The following is a 19,695-nucleotide window of genomic DNA, read 5'->3' as shown; positions in this document are numbered from 1 at the left end:
TCCTGCTTCCTGAGCTTTCTCTGTCCCTGTGAGTTTCTTTGTTTTGTTCTTTCATGTCTGGGTTTCTTCAAATGTTCAGTGATCCCGCATGGTCTGTTTCTATTTTAAAATGAGGCTCTGAAAGACTAATTTGGAAGCTGTGTGTGTTCAGGCAGCGTTTTTTTTGTATTGTGAGTATCATGTGGGGATATTGTGACAAGGTCTATCTTTACATTTGCTTTTTCTTTCTTGGGTGGTCAGTTTCCTTAGAAAGGAATGAATACGTGGCTGTCTGTGTGTTTGGGAGTGAAACTGGGACACACTTGCCATGATGAAGACTTCCAGTTTTCTCCCTCGTTGCAGTTTAAGAAAAGTGTGCCATCTGTTTCCTGCCAAGAACCTGCCTGATAAGCTTTTGGCTATGCCAGAAATCTCTTGTCCAGAGCCCCTCTGGTTCAGTGTATTCAATGAATAAACCACCAAGTCTTTGCCACAGATTAAGTGAGAAAACAAATGTTCCAAAAAAAGTTGCAGAACAGTATATGCATAATATGATTCACATAATTTAAAATAGTGTGCGTGCATTCCAGTTCCACATGCCTCCTATATGCTTTGTGAAATCAAGTTTATGGGAGGCTATTGTTTTAGACTGAGCTCCTGCACTAGACCCCGACGGACCAGACCAAACCAGAATGGGTCACTTGTGCCAAGTGCCAGGTAATCAAACTGAACTTAGAAATGGGTGTTTCCAAAACAGGAGGAGAATAACAGCAACCAATCCAAAGGGGCCCAGTCCGATGTCCAGCTGCTTCTCCTCTCTCTGTCGGTTGAGTGTGGGGTGGGAGGCGGGGTGGGCCACGGGTAGTTTAGGAAAAGGCAACATTTGAGCAGAAACAGGGATGTAAGTTTTTACCTTGGGCTGTGGTCTTAGGCTTTTTGGCTTGAGTATGGGACTTTGCCAGGGACTCACCTTTTTCTGCCTAGAATTTCTCTGCTGCCTGTCCCTATCCGAAGGAGTACACTCTAAAACAATAATAAAAAAAAAGTATAGTAAATACATAAACAAGTAATGGTCCTTTATTGTCATTATCAAGTATTATGTACTATTCATAATTGTACATGTTATGCTTTTGTACAACCGGCAGCACAGTAGGTTTACACCAGCGTCACCACAAACATGATTAATGCATTGCACTATGACATTAGGACAGCTATGACATCATTAGGCTACAGGAATTTTTCAGCCCCATTATAATCTTATGGGACACCCTGTACTACATCCATTGCTCACCAAAATGTGGTTATGTAATGCATAACTGTACATTCAATTGTTAACAGGATTTAACTCTAGGAAATGGTTGTGGGGTAAAAGAAAGAAACAAAGAACTTCTAATTTTTAATTTTTACAATTCTCTACTCTTCCCCTGAATGACCGTATATAACTTTATAATGTTTCTCACAAACAGCTCCCGGTGTAATTCTGATGCTCAGCTAGACTTGGAATCACTGGCTACTGTCTATTTCTGTGTTCCTCTCTCAGCAGAATATTGGAATTAAAATGATAGCGAAGACTGAATGGCCAAATGATAGGAATTCTACAGAAGTCTTCCTGTATGAGGTTGTGGGAACATGGGTGGTGCACAAAGAAAATGGTCAGCTTGGATTGTTTTTCATTTAATGCATTTTTGGTACAAAAATGTCTCAGTTTTTGTTGTTGCTTGTTTGTTTGACATAGGGTCTCCCTCTGTCACCCAACTTCAAGGACAGTGGCTGGATCACAGCTCACTGCACCCTCGAACACCCTGGCCCAAGCGATCCTCCTGCCTCAACCTCCACAGTAGCTGGGAATACAAGTACATGCTACCACACCCAGTTTATTTTTTAATTTTTAGTAGAGACAGGCTGGTCTTGAATTCTTGGGCTCAAGTGATCCTTCCGCCTCAGCCTCCCAAAGTGCTGGGATTACAGGCATAAGCCACTGTGCCCATCCTGAGTATTTGTTTTATAGAGTACTGTGGACATCCAATAGATATTGATAATTATATCAATACTTTACCTGTGAATCCAAACAAGTAGGACTACATATGGTGCAATATGGCTTTAAGTTAAATAAATGATATTGTCTTAAATGTACCCCCATACTTAAAATAGCCATATGAAAAAATACTGATCTATATTGTTTCTTTTTCATACACACACATACATTACAGAATTTGTTTGTAAAAGCAAAGCACTAATTACCTAACCACCTCAACACAATGACTATTTAAAAATATTTATTTATATTAGATCTCAAAACAAATCTTCTATTGTTCATGTAAGTAAATTTTCTTGAGTTTTTGTCCGATTTTTATAATTCTGAAAACTAGTAATACATTTCACTTTTCTGTACACAGATATTTTTATAAACTGCAATATGTTTGAAAGTATTTTTTCCATTAAATAAAAGAGTAGTATTATGTTTCGAAGTGTCTGCTGTTACTGTTTCCACCCACTAAAAAAACATTCCATTGCTACTGAAAAAAAGTCACTTTTTTCCCTCAAAACGTTGTCAGAAATTCATGCGATAGTCTTTTCTTTTTCTTTTCTTTCTTTCTTTTTTTTTTTTAAATTCTTTGCTAGGGCAAAGGGGAGGGAATATTATGTTGTAGATCATGGCCTTATGTACCCTTGTAGTTAAATTTTGAGAAAAAATAGTTTTGAGTAAACAAACAACTAAAGCATCAACTATTTTATTTGTAACCACAGTTTTAAATCGTGTGTGGATCTTTTGTTTCTGGCTATGGGAAAGGTAAATAGGGCAGTTCCTCTTACAATCATGAGCCAGATTCCATTACATTTTCCTGCTTGTCCAAATAGCGAACGATGTCGTTTGTTGCTGTTCACTGCTAATTATCAGTCTTTCTACAAATTCAAGTAATTGCATTATTTGGAATTCCATGCTCCTTTAAGCCCCGCCAATGTTTTGTTTTGTATTGTAGTGCTCTGCAAATCTGTATAAAGCAATGTATCATTGTTAAATAGAGAAAAAAAGACCTTTCAGAAAGAATTACCCTGAAACTTTTAATACGACTATTTTTTGTTGTTTGTGCCTGGCTCCAGTCTGAATATCAGCGTAAGCATCACACTAATTTGTGAGTTTTTCCATTGTCGGTGAATGGGGTGCCCTCGGATACTTGAGTTTTTCTAAGCCTTTGCTTTCACTCCAACTGTGGGTCCTGCCACGCCCTAGCAACATTTCAACAACAAAGGCACGCCTCTGAAAAGTATGCAGCACGCTCTGTCACTTTTTCCTCCTTGTACAATCTTACCACTGAGCAAATGATGCGCTTGTTGTTTAAGCAATTGGTAAAGCAATGGTGAATAAACAATAATTTCTTGTTTATTCTAATGAAAGAGTAGTTGTTGAAAATGGCTAGCATGGCTATAAATATTCAAATAGGAGTTGTACGTTGCCAAATACCTTCATTTATTTACTGAACATGCCCTTCAAAGAGATTTTTTTTCTTCTTTTTTTTTAATTATACTTAAGTTCTGGGATACATGTGCAGACTATGCAGGTTTCTTACATAGGTATACATGTGCCATGGTGGTTTGTCTCACCCATTAACCCATCATCTACATTAGGTATTTCTCCTAATGCTATGCCTCCCTTTGCCCTCCACCCCCCGACAGGCCCCAGTGTGTGATGTTCCCCTCCCTGTGCCCATATGTTCTCATTGTTCAACTCCCGCTTATGAGTGAGAACATGCAGTGTTTGGTTTTCTGTTCCTGTGTTAGTTTGCTGAGAATGATGGTTTCCAGCTTCATCTATGTCCCTGCAAAGGACATGAACTCATTCTTTTTTATGGCTGCATAGTATTCCATGGTGTATATGTGCCACATTTTCTTTATCCAGTCTATCCTTGATGGGCATTTGCACTGGTTCCAAGACTTTGCTATTGTGAATAGTGCTGCAGTAAAAATACGTGTGCATGTGTCTTTATAGTGGAATGATTTATAATCCTTTGGGTATATACTCAGTAATTGGATTGCTGGGTCAAATAGTATTTCTAGTTCTAGATCCTTGAAGAATTGCCACACTGTCTTCCACAATGATTGAACTAATTTACACTCCCACCAACAGTGTAAAAGTGTTGCTGGAGTGCAGTGGTGTGATCTCAGCTCACTGCAACCTCCGCCTTCTGGTTTCAAGTGATTCTCCTGCCTCAGCCTCCCGAGTAGCTGGAATTACAGGTGTCCGCCACCACATCCAGCTAACTTTTATATTTTTAGTAGAGATGGGGTTTCGCCACGTTGACCAGGCTGGTCTCAAACTCCTGACCTCGTGACCCACCTGCCTCAGCCTCCCAAAGTGCTGGGATTACAGACATGAGCCACCATACCCGGCTGCTTTTTTGTGACAGGATCTCACTCTGTCACCAGGCTGGAGTGCAGTGGCATGATCACAGCTCACTGCAGCCTTGACCACCTCGACCTCCTGAGCTCAATCCATCCTTTTGCCTCAGCCTTCCAAGTAGCTTGGACTACAGATTAGCTAAGCCACCACACTTAGGTAACTTTTAATAGAGACAGGGTCTCCCTGTGTTTCCCACGCTGGTCTTGAACTCCTGGGCTCCAGTGCCCGGCCTGTATCCTGACTTTTTAATGATTGACATTCTAACTGACGTGAGATGGTATCTCACTGTGGTTTTGATTTGCATTTCTCTAATGACCAGTGATGATGAAAGTCTTCCTTTGAAAAGTGTCTGTTCATATCCTTTGCCCACCTTTTGATGGGGTTGTTTTTTTCTTGTAAATTTGTTTAAGTTCCTTGTAGATTCTGGATATTAGCCCTTTGTCAGAAGGATAGATTGCAAACATTTTCTCCCATTCTGTAGGTTGCCTGTTCACCCTGATGATAGTTTCTTTTGCTGTGCAGAAGCTCTTTAGTTTAGTTAGATCCCATTTTTCATTTTTGGCTTTTGTTGCCATTGCTTTTGGTGTTTTAGTAATGAAGTCTTTGTCCATGCCTATATCCTGAATGGTATTGCCCAGGTTTTCTTCTAGGGTTTTTATGGTTTTATGTCTTACATTTAAATCTTTAATTCATCTTGACTTAATTTTTGTATAAGGTGTAAGGAAGGGGTCCAGTTTTAGTTTTCTGCATATGGCTAGCCAGTTTTCCCAACACCATTTATTAAATAGGGAATCCTTTCCCCATTGCTTGTTTTTGTCAGGTTTGTCAAAGATCAGATGGTTGTAGATGTGTGGTGTTATTTCTGAGCCCTCTGTTCTGTTCCATTGGTCTATATATCTGTTTTGGTACCAGTACCAAGCTGTTTTGGATACTATAGCCTTGTAGTATAGTTTGAAGTCAGGTAGCATGATGCCTCCAGCTTCTATATTTTTGCTTAGGATTGTCTTGGCTATACGGGCTCTTTTTTGGTTCCATATGAAATTTAAAGTAGTTTTTTCTAATTCTGTGAAGAAAGTCAATGGTAGCTTTATGGGAATAGCATTTAATCTAAAAATTACTTTGGGCAGTATGACCATTTTCATGATATTGATTCTTCCTATCCATGAACATGGAATGTTTTTCCATTTGCTTGTGTCCTCTCTTATTTCTTTAAGCAGTGGTTTGTAGTTCTCCTTGAAGAGGTCCTTCACATCCCTTGTAAGCTGGATTCCTAGGTATTTTATTCTCTTCATAGCAATTGTGAATGGGAGTTCACTCATGATTTGGCTCTCTGTGTATTTGTGTATAGGAATGCTTGTGATTTTTGCACATTGATTTTGTATCCTGAGACTTTGCTGAAGGTGCTTGTCAGCTTACGTTTTGGGGCTGAGATGATGGGGTTTTCTAAATATACAATCATGTCATCTACAAACAGGGATAATTTGACTTCCTCTCTTCCTATTTGAACACACTTTATTTCTTATCTTGCCTGATTGCCCTTCCAATTCTATGTTGAATAGGAGTGGTGAGAGAGGGCATCCTTGTCTTGGGCTGGTTTTCAAAGGGAATGCTTCCAGTTTTTGCCCATTCAGTATGATATTGTCTGTGGGTTTGTCATAAATAGCTCTTATAATTTTGAGATACGCTCCATCAATACTTGGTTTATTGAAAGTTTTTAGAATGAAGGGGTGTTGAATTTTGTCGAAGGCCTTTTCTGCATCTATTGAGATAATCACGTGGTTTTTGTCATTGATTCTGTTTATGTGATGGATTACATTTATTGATTTGCGTATGTTGAACCAGCCTTGTATTTCAGGGATGAAGTCAACTTGATCACGGTGGATAAGCTTTTTACTGTGCTGCTGGATTTGGTTTGCCAGTATTTTATTGAGGATTTTCGCATCAATGTTCCTCAATTGTGTATTGAGGAACACCCACCCTCAATTGGGAGGGTGTATGTGTCCAGGAATGTGTCCATTTCTTCTAGATTTTTGTAGAGGTGTTTATAGTATTCTCTGATGATAGTTTGTATTTCTGTGGGATCAGTGGTGATCTCCCCTTTATCATTTTTTATTTCATCTATTTGATTCTTCTCTCTTTTCTTCTTTATTGGTCTGGTTAGCAGTCTATCTATTTTGTTAATCTTTCCAAAAAACCAGCTCCTGGATTCATTGATTTTTTTTGAAGGGGTTTTTGTGTCTCTATCTCCTTCAGTTCTGCTCTGATCTTAGTTATTTCTTGTCTTCTGCTAGTTTTTGAATGTGTTTGCTCTTGCTTCTCTAGTTCTTTTAATTGTGATGTTAGGGTGTCGATTTTAGATCTTTCCTGCTTTCTCCTGTGGGCATTTAGTGAGATAAATTTCCCTCCAAACACTGCTTTAGCCGTGTCCCAGAGATTCTGGTACGTTATGTCTTTGTTCTCATTGGTTTCAAAGAACTTATTTATTTCTGCCTTAATTTCATTATTTACCCAGTAGTCATTCAGGAGCAGGTTATTCAGTTTCCATGTAGTTGTGCAGTTTTGACTGAGTTTCTTAATCCTGAGTTCTAATTTGATTGCACTGTGGTCTGAGAGACTGCTTCTTATGATTTCCATTCTTTTGCATTTGCTGAGGAGTGTTTCACTTCCAATTATGTGGTCAGTTTTAGAATAGGTGCAATGAGGTGCTGAGAAGAATGTATATTCTGTTGATTTGGGGTGGAGAGTTCTGTAGATGCCTATTAGGTCTGTTTGGTCCAGAGCTGAGCTCAAGTCCTGAATATCCTTGTTAATTTTCTGTCTCGTTGATCTAATATCGACAGTGGGGTGTTAAAGTCTCCCACTGTTATTGTGTGGGAGTCTAAGTCTCTTTGTAGGTCTCTAAGAGCTTGCTTTATGAATCTGGGTGTTCCTGTATTGGGGGCATATATATTTAGGATAGTTAGCTCTTCTTGTTGCATTGATCCTTTTATCATTATGTAATGCCCTTCTTTGTTATTTTTTGATCTTTGTTGGTTTAAAGTTGGTTTTATCAGAGACTAAGATTGCAACCCCTGCCTTTTTTTGCTTTCCATTTGATTGGTAAATCTTCCTCCATCTCTTTATTTTGAGCCTATGTGTGTCTTTGCACTTGAGATGGGTCTCCTGAATACAGCACACCAATAGGTCTTGACTCTTTATCCTATTTGCCAGTCTGTGTCTTTTAACTGGGGCATTTGCCCATTTACATTTAAGGCTAATATTGTTATGTGTGAATTTGATCCTGTCATTATGATGCTAGCTGGTTATTTTACCCATCAGTTGATGCAGTTTTTTCATAGTGTCGATGGTCTTTACTTTTTGGTATGTTTTTGCAGTGGCTGGTACCAGTTTCTCCTTTCCATATTTAGTGCTTCCTTCAGGAGTTCTTGTATGGCAGGCCTGGTGGTGACAAAATCCCTCAGCATTTACTTGTCTGTAAAGGGTTTTATTTTTCCTTCAGTTATGAAGCTTAGTTTGGCTGGATATGAAATTCTGAGTTGAAAATTCTTTTCTTTAACAATGTTGGATGTTGGTCCCCATTCTCTTCTGGCTTGTAGGGTTTCTGCAGAGAATCCACTGTTAGTCTGATGGGCTTCCCTTTGTGGGTAACCCAACCTTTCTCTCTGGCTGCCCTTAACAATTTTTCCTTCATTTTAACCTTGGTAAATCTGATGATTGTGTGTCTTGGGGTTGTTCTTCTCAAGGAGTATCTTTGTGGTGTTCTCTGTATTTCCTGAATTGGAATGCTGGCCTGTCTTGCTAGGTTGGGGAAGTTCTCCTGGGTAATATCCTGAAGAGTGTTTTCCAACTTGATTCCATTCTCCCCATGACTTTCAGGTACACCAATCAAACATAGGTTTGGTCTCTTCACATAGTCCCATATTTCTTGGAGGCTTTGTTCGTTCCTTTTCATTCTTTTTTCTCTAATCTTGTCTTCACACTTTATTTCATTAAGTTGATTTTCAATCTCTGATATCCTTTCTTCCGCTTGATCAATTTGGCTATTGATACTTGTATATGCTTCGCAAAGTTCTCGTGCTGTGTTTTTCAGCCCCATCAGGTCATTTATGTTCTTCTTTAAACTAGTTATTCTAGTTAGCATTTCCCGTAACCTTTTATCAAAGTTCTTAGCTTCCTTGAATTGGGTTAGAACATGCTCCTTTAGCTTGGAGAAGTTTGTTATTACCCACCTTCTGAAGCCTACTTCTGTCACTTTGTCAAACTCATTCTCCATCCAGTTTTGTTCCCTTGCTGGCAAGGAACGGTGATCGTTTGGAGGAGAAGAGGTGTTCTGCTTTTTGGAATTTTCAGCCTTTTTTCCGCTTGTTTCTCCTCATCTTTGTGGATTTGTCTGCCTTTGGTCTTTGATGTTGGTGACTTTTGGATGGAGTTTTTGAGTGGTAATCCTTTTTGTTGATGTTGATGCTATTGCTTCCTGTTTGTTAGTTTACCTTCTAACAGACCCCTCTTCTGCAGGTCTGCTGGAGTTTGCAGGTGGTCCACTCCAGACCCTGTTTGCCTGGGTATCACCAGTAGAGGCTGCAGAACAGCAAAGATTGCTGCCTGCTACTTCCTCTGGAAGCTTTGTCACAGAGGGGCACCTGCCAGATGCTAGCCGGAGTGCTCCTGTATGAGGTGTCTGTCAACCCCTGCTGGGAGGTGTCTCCCCATCAGGAGGCACACGTGTCAGGGACCTACTTGAGGAGGCAGTCTGTCCCTTAGCAGAGCTCAGGCACTGCGCTGGAAGATCTACTGCTGTCTTCAGAGCCAGCAGGTGGGAACGTTTAGGTCTGCTGAAGCTGAGCCCACACCACCCCTTCCCCCAAGTGCTCTGTCCCAGCGAGATGGGACTTTTACCTATAAGCCCCTGACTGGAGCTGCTGCCTTTATTTCAGTGATGCCCTGCCCAGAGAGGAGGAATCTAGAGAGGCAGTCTGGCTACAGTGGCTTTGTGGCCCTGCGGTCGGCTCTGCCCAACCTGAACTTCCAGGAGGCTTTGTTTACACTGTGAGGGGAAAACTGCCTACTCAAGCCTCAGTAATGGTGGACGCCCCTTCCCCCACCTAGCTAGAATGTCCCAGGTCGACTTCAGACGGCTGTGCTGGCAGTGAGAATTTCAAGCCAGTGGATCTTAGCTTGTTGGGCTCTGTGGGAGTGGGATCCACTGAGCAAGGCCACTCGGCTCCCTGGCTTTAGCCCCCTTTTCAGGGGGGTGAACGGTTCTGTCACGCTGACATTCCAGGCGCCACTGGTGTATGAAAAAAAAAAAAAAAAGAAAACTCCTGCAACTAGCTGGGTGTCTCCCCAAATGGCCACCCAGTTTTGTGCTTGAAACCCAGGGCACCCGAGGGAATCTCCTGGTCTGCGGGTTGCGAAGACCGTGGGAAAGGTGCAGTATCTGGGCCGGAATGCACTGTCTCTCCCGGCTCAGTCCTTCATGGCTTCCCTTGGCTAGGGGAGGGAGTTCCCTGACCCCTGCACTTCCCGGGTGAGGTGACAGCCCACCTTGCTTCTGCTCACCCTCCGTGAACTGCACCCACTGTCTAACCAGTCCCAATGAGATGAGCTGGGTACCTCAGTTGGAAATGCAGAAATCACCCGCCTTCTGCGTTAATCTCGCTGGGAGCTGCAGATTGCAGCTGTTCCTGTTTGGCCATCTTGCCCAGGAATCCTGAGATATATTTTTTTAAATCTTAGATTCCGTTTTGTTTCTCATGAACTAACAAGTTGGGGTTATTTAAGATGGCCAAGTAGAATGGTTTAAAATGTGAACTGTGCTACACTATTGTTCCTTTAACGTCGAGAGGGCGGGCAGGATATGTGCTGTAGCCCATGGGGAGACATCTCAGGATTCAGGTGGTTCCCTCACACCAGCAAAAAACCCTCTCATCTCTGATTCAGGCAGAGAGAGCCAGCCCCCTAGTTCTCCTTCATCGTTTTATGAATTCCACCCAAAGGCTATTGTCACTTACACACAAACACACAGCAGCAGAAAGACAAAGCTACCCCAGAATACAGTTTCCGCAATTGGGATAAATTAATGAGGCAGCTACTAACTGGATGACCCAGCTGGGATCAGGAGTTTCTCCAGGATTTGCTTATGAATTAAACTGTACTCTTCATCAGGAAGTCATGTCTTTTTTGATTACTGCTGGTGTGTTTTTTCCTTTCAACTAATTTTCCCACTCACTTTTTATTGAGAATTCTGTGATTTGGTTTCCTTCCTCTGCCTACACTTCCTTTTCATCCCCATGTGGCCTAAATGGGGACTGTGAGTGAAAGGCATTCCATAATTTTGCCCAGGTTACTACTGCTGGTGTGCTTTAGCATGAATGTTTGATTTGAGCCTGGTGTGACTGCCCAGGCCTTCTTGTCACTGGGATTCAGAACCTCCAAGGCGTGGAGGCCCCGGTCAGGTAAAGGATGGAAGCAGCTGGCTGGGGAATGCAGAGCCCTGGAAATCAGCAGATCCTCTGGGCCGGGTCTCCTGTTGAAAACCGCCAGTGGCTTTTCACTCCATTTAGATGAAACCCAAACTCCTTCACCTACATCGGTAGGTCCAATAAGCAGGGTCAGAAGAGAAAGCCAATCCAGATAAAGGAGGTGAAACTGCAGAGTGAAAACTGTGTGTCCACCAGATGCTAGGTGAGCCAGGATTCCCATTGGAAACAGACAAAGATAAATCGAAATGTCAGGACTAGTGCTGTGAGCTGTGTGCCTGGGGAGTCGGCACCCAGCAGGAAGCCTCGCTCAGGGGACAGAGGCCTGCAGTTCCTCTTGTCTAGGACTGGGACTGTCAGTAGCACATGAGTTGCCCAATTACCTGCATGAAGGACTGACGAGGTTTGGAGGGGATACTTGGCAAGCTACAGAAGAGAGACACCCATTTCTACTTCTACTGCATGGTAAAGGTTCCTGGTGTATGTCTGTCTAGACTGGGTTCTGGAAAGAAGAAAAGAACATACTTAATGTCAGTTTGATGTTCTGTTAGAACTCGGACTGGCATAAGGTAATGATTTATCATTAAATTTGGCTCTGAGCATTCTGACAGTCAACTCCAAAAACCATGCAGTCAACTCCAAAAATCCGTCAACTAATTGTGGTCTGTGTCAGTTATCAGCGATGACACTTCTGCTTGAAAATAACAGAACACCCAGCTCGAAAGGTCAGGGGGAAATTCTTCTACAACAAGCAGTCTGGAAGGGAGGGTGAGTCTGTGGGTCATTAAGTGAAAGGCTCAAGACATTATCGAGGGAAAAGATTTCCCATTCTTTCTGCTCCGCCTCTCTCAGAGCATGTGAGCCACCTCCTTCCACCTCCCTGTGGTCACAAGTTGACTGCGGCAGCTTCAGACATCATGTGCTCACACGAAAATATCCAGAGGCAGGATGGACAATGAGGAGCACATTCCTGCTCATGCCCTAGTTTTAGAATCAGTCCCCTATGGATTCCTTCCTCCTCCTGTCTCATGGGCTGGAGCCGCATCACAGCCTTTCCACCAGCAGAATGACTACCAGGGTTCAAGCCCCACTCACCTAGGACCGCGGAGGACTCATCTTCCTGAGAACCAAACAGAACCGCAGGACAGGCAGCAGGATGTGAATGGGGGAGGGGGCAGCCTGAACACCATTTGCCACAGTGGTTTATGCAATTCTACATCCAGTAAAAAGAATATATCAATATTTTTAACAGAGACCGATCAGCTTTGATATTCATTCAACAAATATATATATGGGATATGTCCTTTTAGCTAAACACTGTAGTGCTAAGGTCCTACAGTAGACAAAATATGGAAGGTCATTAAAATATACAGTGATTAAGTCTTATACAGCATGCATAAACCTAGCCAGCTGCACACAATGAACTTATTTTATTTTTACCATGTGTTCCCAAATTTAGCTTACTACTGCAAAAAGGCTAACAATTTCCAAGTGAAAAATGTGTTTTCCTGCAGTAAAATACACACACTACCACAATAGTTTCCCCACCCAAAGTGATAAATACTTCCAAGTGGAAAACCTACTTTAGTGAAACAAATAGGGTCACTGAAACTTAAAAAAGAAGATCATTACCCATCAAGAAATACTTAATTGCAATTGAATTCAATACTGTTTTGAGAGTATTGAATTCAATACTGTTTTGAGAGACAACTTTTCAATTAAGAATAACACTTGTTCGTTACCTTATGACTCTGTGTGCAGAAATGTGAATAAGCCAGGAAAAGCTTATCTGAAAATAGCCACAGGATTTTAGTGACTGTGAGTAGAAAATGCATGGGTTTCAATTCTTTAATGTAAAGTGAGACTGAGCAAACCATAGATATTGCCATGAAAAAATTTATGCACTATTCAATACATATTTACTCAGAGTTTTAAAATTCTTAAAGTCATTTTTTCTTTCTTGAGATATTTTCTGTGATTTAAAAAAAATCTAAAACTATAATATTGTGGAGAAAGCAGTAAATTAATCCCATTGTCAAAAACAATGCAATTTTTGGTAAACTTATTTTCTTAAGATCTGTGGGAAATCCAGAAGCATCTAAGGAGGTTACTACCATTTGCCTATATATGACAAAATCAAAATGAATCGGTCTAATGTTGATCTTAGACTCAGACAGATATATCACATTTTGCTTATCTTCTCTGTGATGATCAGTTCTCAAAACTGGAAATTAGTATACTTTGCAAGCAGATTATCAACAAAACTGTCTTGACTTGTTCTTTCTACTGGTCTATTTTAAACTATTACTTTTCCTCCCTGGAAGATACATTGGTAAATACTGAAGCACTATGTTTACCAGGCCTTTTCTCATGCATCAGTCCTTTTGAGTACTGGAAAACAAGGGGAGTTCATATCATTTTCACTCTATGGATGGATATGGAGGCGCAGAGATGTACTGTTTCCCAGGCCAGAGGTCGGATCTTGAATTCAGATCTTCTGACTTCAGTAACTGGAGTGCTGAGGTGCTATCTTGGCTCACTGCAACCTCTCCCTCCCGGGTTCAAGAGATTCTCCTGCCTCAGCCTCCCAAGTAGCTGGGATTACAGATGTCCGCCACCATGTCTGGCTAATTTTTGTATTTTTAGTAGAGACAGGGTTTCACCATGTTGGCCAGGCTGGTCTCGAACTCCTGACCTTGTGATCCACCTGCCTTGGCCTCCCAAAGTGCTGGGATTACAGGCATGAGCCACCACACCTGGATTCTGGTCTTTTTAAATAAGCAGCTGTGCTTCTGACCGGAAGGAATGTTAACAAAGAGAACAACAGTGAATATATGAGTTTCTTTCTTAATCTGTAAATAATTGATGGGGAAGGCAATGAGAGAACGTCTGGAACTTAGATACCTACCTTTGCTGGTCCAAAGGAGTTCAGGACATACCACCCTAAAATATGTCTCTTAGGCATAAGAATTATTTTGAGCTAAAGATACTTGAAAAAGCAGCAGGTGCAAGAGGGTCACTGTGACCCCCCTCTTTCTTCCTGTGAGCAGGAGATAAAATTCTCATGTGGAAGATGCTTTCCCTACACCAGGAGGAAATCCCTATACCAGGAAGAAAGTAAGGTTATTGTTATCAAGGATGGGAAGGCAAAGCCAAGAGAAATCCGTGCAAACAAACCTTGTTCAATTAACTAACCCTTATCTTCCCAGTGACTTCACCACCCAGTTAATTACCCTGCCCCAAGCCCCTTTGCCTTGTCATGTTTTTACAATCTACTACCCTTTGTCCAACTCAGTATTAAATGTTTGACTCTCACTGCTTTGTTGAGTCTTCATTTCCTTTGCCCCTGTGTCATGCAAACCTTTTACTAAATAAATTTGTATGCTTTTCTTCTGTTAATCAGTTTTATGTCAGTTTAATTCTCAGACCTAGCCAAAAACCCTATGATGGTAGAGGGAAAATTTTGTCTCCCCTACAGATCCTTATCTTCTCTGGTGAAGGCCTAAAAACTACCTTAGAGTTTTAAAAACTATCATACCTGCTGGGGACAGTGGCTAATGCCTTTAATCCCAACACTCTTTGAGGCCAAGGTGGAAGGAAAAATTGATTCAGGCCAGGAGGTTGAGACCAGCCTGGGCAACATAGGGAGTCCCTATCTCTACAACAACAGCAACAAAATACCAGATGTGGGCCTACTTTTAGATGAGTTAAAGTTAAAGGAAGTTATGGTTATGAGAAAAAGAATATTTTTATTCTTTTTCCACCTTGGCAATTGATTTTCCTCTCAGACCTACTACTGGTTTTAATTAGAAGAATAATGACAGGCGTGGTACATGATGGTGTGGATTAGACTATTCTCCAATGTGAAAGGAATGGGGCATTTTAATTTGATGTTATTCACGAGGGGAAGAAGTCCTAAATAAGTTAAAATAAGTAAACACACTTACCTTCTTTTATAGTATGCTGTATGTGTTAGTCTGTTTTCATGCTGTTGATGAAGACATACCCAAGACTGGGCAATTTCCAAGAGAAAAAGATTTAGTGGACTTACAGTTCCACATGGCTGGGGAAGCCTCACAATCATGGTGGAAGGCAAGGAGTAACAAAGAGTAACACCTCTTACATGGATGGCAGCAGGCAAAGAGAGCTTGTGCAGAGAAACTCCCATTTTTAAAATGATCAGATCTCATGAGACTCATTCACTATCATGAGAACAGTCCAGGAAAGACTCACCCCCATAATTCAATCACTTCCAACTAGGTCCCTTCCACGACTTGTGGGAGTTATAATTCAAGATGATATTTGGGTGGGGACACAGCCAAACCATATCAATATGGAAAGATAACTCTTATGTAAAATATCCACAGACCAACCTTTGGGAACCACCAACAAAGAGAAGGCATGAGGAGATCTGGTTTCTAGTCCTAGCTCTGCCACTAATTCTATGACCTAAAGGAGTCACTTCTTGCTGGATCTCAGGTTCTTCTTGTAAGACATGGAAGGTACTGGAAAAGTACCTTCTGTGTCTCAAATGTGTCCTAATGCCCAAAGGCATTTAGTTCTGAAATTTTAGGCTCTTCTATTCCTGCAGGAATCTTCCGCAATCTGCACCAGCCCTCACTATGCCCTTACTACCCCCTGCCAGTTGTTAAGCATTTTCTAGCCATCACTGGTTAGAAGTGATTTGCTGATTTTTGTACTGACTCCCTGCTATGGACTGAATTGTGTCCTCCACAAAATTCTTATGTTGAAACCCTAACCCCCAATGTGGCTGTATGTGGAATAAGGACGTAATTAAAGTTAAAGGAGGTTATAAGGCTGGAACACTGATTTGATTGGATCAGTGTCTTTGTAGGAAGAGACCCTAGAGAGCTCACTCTCTCTGCTGTGTGAGGACACAGTGAAAAGGTGGCAATCCATAAAACAGCTCCCATCGGAAACCAAATTGGCTGGCACTTTCATCTTGGACTTCTAGCCTCCAGAACTTGAGAAATGAATTTCTGTTGTTTAAGCCACCCAGCCTACGGTATTTTGTTATGTCAGCCAGATCAAACTAAGACACTCCCTAAATACTAGAAGTATGCGTCTGTGGGGATAGGTGGGCAAAAGAGAGAGAGTTGGAGATGATTTATTTGTCTTAGGGCTCCCAGCAGAACACTGAGCAGATGACCAAAAGGAGATGAATAGTAACAGTGAAACCACCTTTGCAAAAGTGCGACTGAGACAGTGAAATAGGTCCAATTTAAATGACTCCATCTTGCCTCTAACCTCCAAGCCATCCTTGTTCATTCCTGGGCATGGGCTGAGCTAACTTTGGGAGGAACTTAGTTTATAGTTTAAAAAAAAGACGGTAACAGCCCTTTCCCAAAACAAACCTCCTTCTTGCCTGGGGACTAGGGCCCTAACATTGGCCACAAGATTAGAAATTATGGTTTAGGAGTCACGCGGCTGGAGGCTACCAGAGTCTGCCCCTCCCTTAACTGCTCCTAAGATCAGTGCTCGAGATGTTTTGCAGACCCTGCACTTGATGGATCAACCAGCACCATCCAGATGGAGAAACGGGCACATCTGACTCGTGACCCCTACCCAGGAACTGACAGTGCAAGAAGACTGTGATGCCCCATGATTTCATCTCCGACCCAACCAATCAGCACTCCCCGACTCACTGCCCCTCACTTCCTACCAAATTGTCTTTAAAAACTCTGATCCTCAAATGCTCAGGGAGACTGATTTCAGTAGTGATAAAACTCCAGTCTCCTGCACAGCCAGCTCTGAGTGAATTTCTCGTTCTCTATTGCAATTCCCGTCTTGAGAAATCAGCTCTGTCTAGGCAGTGGGTAAGGTGAACCCACTGGGCAGTTACAACAATGCAATAGAAATGCTGTTTCCCTTCTTCCTGACTTGTTTGTTTGTTTGTTTTGAGACAGGATCTTTCTCTGTTGCCCAGGCTGGACTGCAGTGGCGGGATCATGGCTCACTGCAGCCTCAACCTCCTGGGCTCAAGTGATCCTCTCACCTTTGCCTCCCAAGTAGCTGGGACCACAGGCATGCACCATGGTTATTATTATTATTTTGGTAGAGATGGGGGTCTCCCTATGGCTGGTCTCAAACTCCTGCGCTCAAGCAATCCTCCCACCTTCACCTCCTAAAGTGTTGTGATTATAGGAGTGAGCCACTGTGCCCGGCCCTCCCTGTCATTTAACATATATATATTTACACACACACACACACACACACACACACACACACACACACACACACATCTTAAATATTTTTCTAGTCTTGATTGCCAGGGCAAACTTAGAGTAAATTTACAAATATCAACCTCTCCCTTGTCATCGTAACACACTTTCTTTTATTCATTTATTTATTCATTAACACATTCTGCTTTGGGTCAGGTGCCAGTGGTTGACACTGAGGATACATCTAAAGCTTATCCAGTTTCTAGACTTTTGAGAAATAATAAAATTCTCAGCCCCTAAATGACTGATTGGACCCCCTCTTGGCCACAGGGACCCCAGAAATGCCTTAGAAGCTGAATTTCCAGCCATGACAGGATGGAGGTCAGACACACCTTATTATACCCACTCCCTCAAAAACTGCCATTAGGGTCTCTTCCCTAAGGGGAAACAGAAGCTAGACTTTTCAAAAGATTTCACATTGATAATGTCAGTTACCAGCTCATCTTCCCAGGCACAGAACAAAGACAAGATGAGATTAATTGTTCCTTCACCCTTAGCTGAGACACCTGCCTCTTCTATTCTCTTTTTCTTCAAATGTTCACGTATGTAAAATACAGATTTGTTGGGGACTAACTAAAGTCTCACTAGTATGTAACAATTTGTCTCACTTCCCTTTTAATGAAAATGCATAAATACTAGACTTTCTAAGAAGCTCTTTGGAGAAAACAGCCACAGAGGGCATCTGTGACTCATGCTTTTCCTAGACACACCCTCAAGCTGGTTCAATAAACCTCAATTGATTGAGAAACCTGCCTTCATCAGCCATTTTGGTTGTAACTTTCTAGATCTCTGAATGAGTTCATGTCCCGAGCCAATAATAACTAATACTAGACAATACAGTTGAAACCCTAGCAGAGATTATATTAGCAGATGAAAGGGAAATTGGACATATGAGAGTTAGCTTCAGAATTTGAGAAGAATAAAAGGGAACAACTATATGGAAAGGCCTTTAGTGCGAGCTTGAATTGCACATCTCAGGAGGTTATGGGTAGAAATGAATGGAGTTTTCTTGCCACTGGAGATGCCAGATAAAAGGCATGAATTATTTTGGTCTTGCAGGTTATTGAATTTAGGCTCATCTGCTTTGAAGCAAGAGATTCTCTTGCTCCTTCAGGTTCTAGATTTTTACACTGTTTTAACTTTATGCAATGTCTCCTGGATACTGTGGGAAAATAAAATTGTTCTCAGGAAGACCAGGTCTTTGGTAACTCAATGGGAGGAATGAAACTGTCATTTATTAGTTGTGAGATCCTAGACAAATGCCTTTAGCCTTTTCATTCATTCTCCTTATTTGTAAATGGAGATTAATAACAACCTCCTTATAACATTCTGGCTATTAAGTGAGAGATTAAAAGATGTACCTGACACATATACTAACTTTAAGTCATAGTAGTTATTAAAAATAAGCATTTTCAAAATGGATATTCTTTTTTGCAAATTTAATAATCATTTCATAATCTTGAAATCCTAATGCCCCACTACTGAATAGAATATATTTTATGCATTCACTGTGTTATTATGATTGAGTAACTTGCACAACAATCAGCTGTCTAAAAGTTGCAAGAAATTTCAGATTGTAAGAGAAATACAGTCTTTAAAGTATTCAAAATAAATCTTTCTCTACTGCTGGTACAATCATTGTGTATGTTTATGTCTTTAAACCAAAACTTAATTAGACTCAGTTACTGCAACCTGCAGTCTTAGAAGTTCCTAGAAATAATGTAATTGCCCAGCCTGGTGCTTCTTGCCCACTGCACAGATAAAGCCAATGCACTGAGACAGCGGTGTTGTGGCAGAGAAAGTGTTTAATTATTGCAAGGCAGCCAAGCGAGAGGATGGGAAATATTTCTTAAATTCACCTCCTTGAGAGCTCAGAGGCTATGGTTTTTTAGGAAATTTGGCAGGTGTCAGTTTCTCGTGGGGGATGTCACAGGACTGATTGAGTCATGGGTCTGGATGGGTCATGGTGGTGTCGGTGAGTCTGCACCAATGCAAAGGTCTGAAATACATCTCAAAGATCAATCATAGGTTTGACAATAGTGACATTATTTATAGGAGAAATTGGGGAAGTTACTAATCCTGTGATCCCTGGCTATGTGATTCTCAAGCAGTAAGCAATTATAGAAAGGCAAGCTATGGAATAATGGCTGGTTTTTGTTTAACTGTGCCTACATCTTAGCAGAATTCAGGCCCCTCCCATAATCCTAACCTTGTAGACTTTGATGAGACTTACAAAGGCAGTTTCAGTCCCTGAGCAAGGAAGGAGTTAGTTTCAGGAAGGAATTGTTATCATCTTTAACAAAGTCAGTTAGTTTGTGCTATTGGAAGCAAGATGGGAGTATTTATGTCAGATTTCTCTCACTTTCATAATTTTTGCAAAGGTGGTTTTGATAACCAAAAGCTAATTAAAATGAAGGGATAAAAGGAGAAAAGCTTTCTTTCTTTCCATGGCTTAGTAGTATTATCAAATAAATTATCTGGTGGATGTGATCTGATGGATGTGATCTGATGAGTTTGATCAATAATAGAGTCTGATCAAGAGATTCTTGTTTGGTTTTACTTGCCTGAAAAAGTACTTTCACCTTTTATATAACTG

General features: G+C 41.3%; 1 annotated feature.

Annotated features, from left to right (window-relative positions):
• Nucleotides 9,017-9,517: an enhancer, noted in NCBI's record as "H3K4me1 hESC enhancer chr18:67904225-67904725 (GRCh37/hg19 assembly coordinates)". NCBI's record gives its function as "activates a minimal SCP1, AML or CMV promoter by ChIP-STARR-seq in naive H9 embryonic stem cells {active_cell/tissue: H9 hESC(naive)}" and the evidence as "EXISTENCE:reporter gene assay evidence [ECO:0000049][PMID:30033119]".

Source organism: Homo sapiens, chromosome 18 (genome assembly GCF_000001405.40).
Source record: "Homo sapiens chromosome 18, GRCh38.p14 Primary Assembly".
In the NCBI taxonomy this organism is placed as follows: domain Eukaryota; kingdom Metazoa; phylum Chordata; class Mammalia; order Primates; family Hominidae; genus Homo; species Homo sapiens.
Note: the sequence above shows the minus strand (reverse complement) of the source record. Positions and strands in the feature narration are given on the sequence as shown.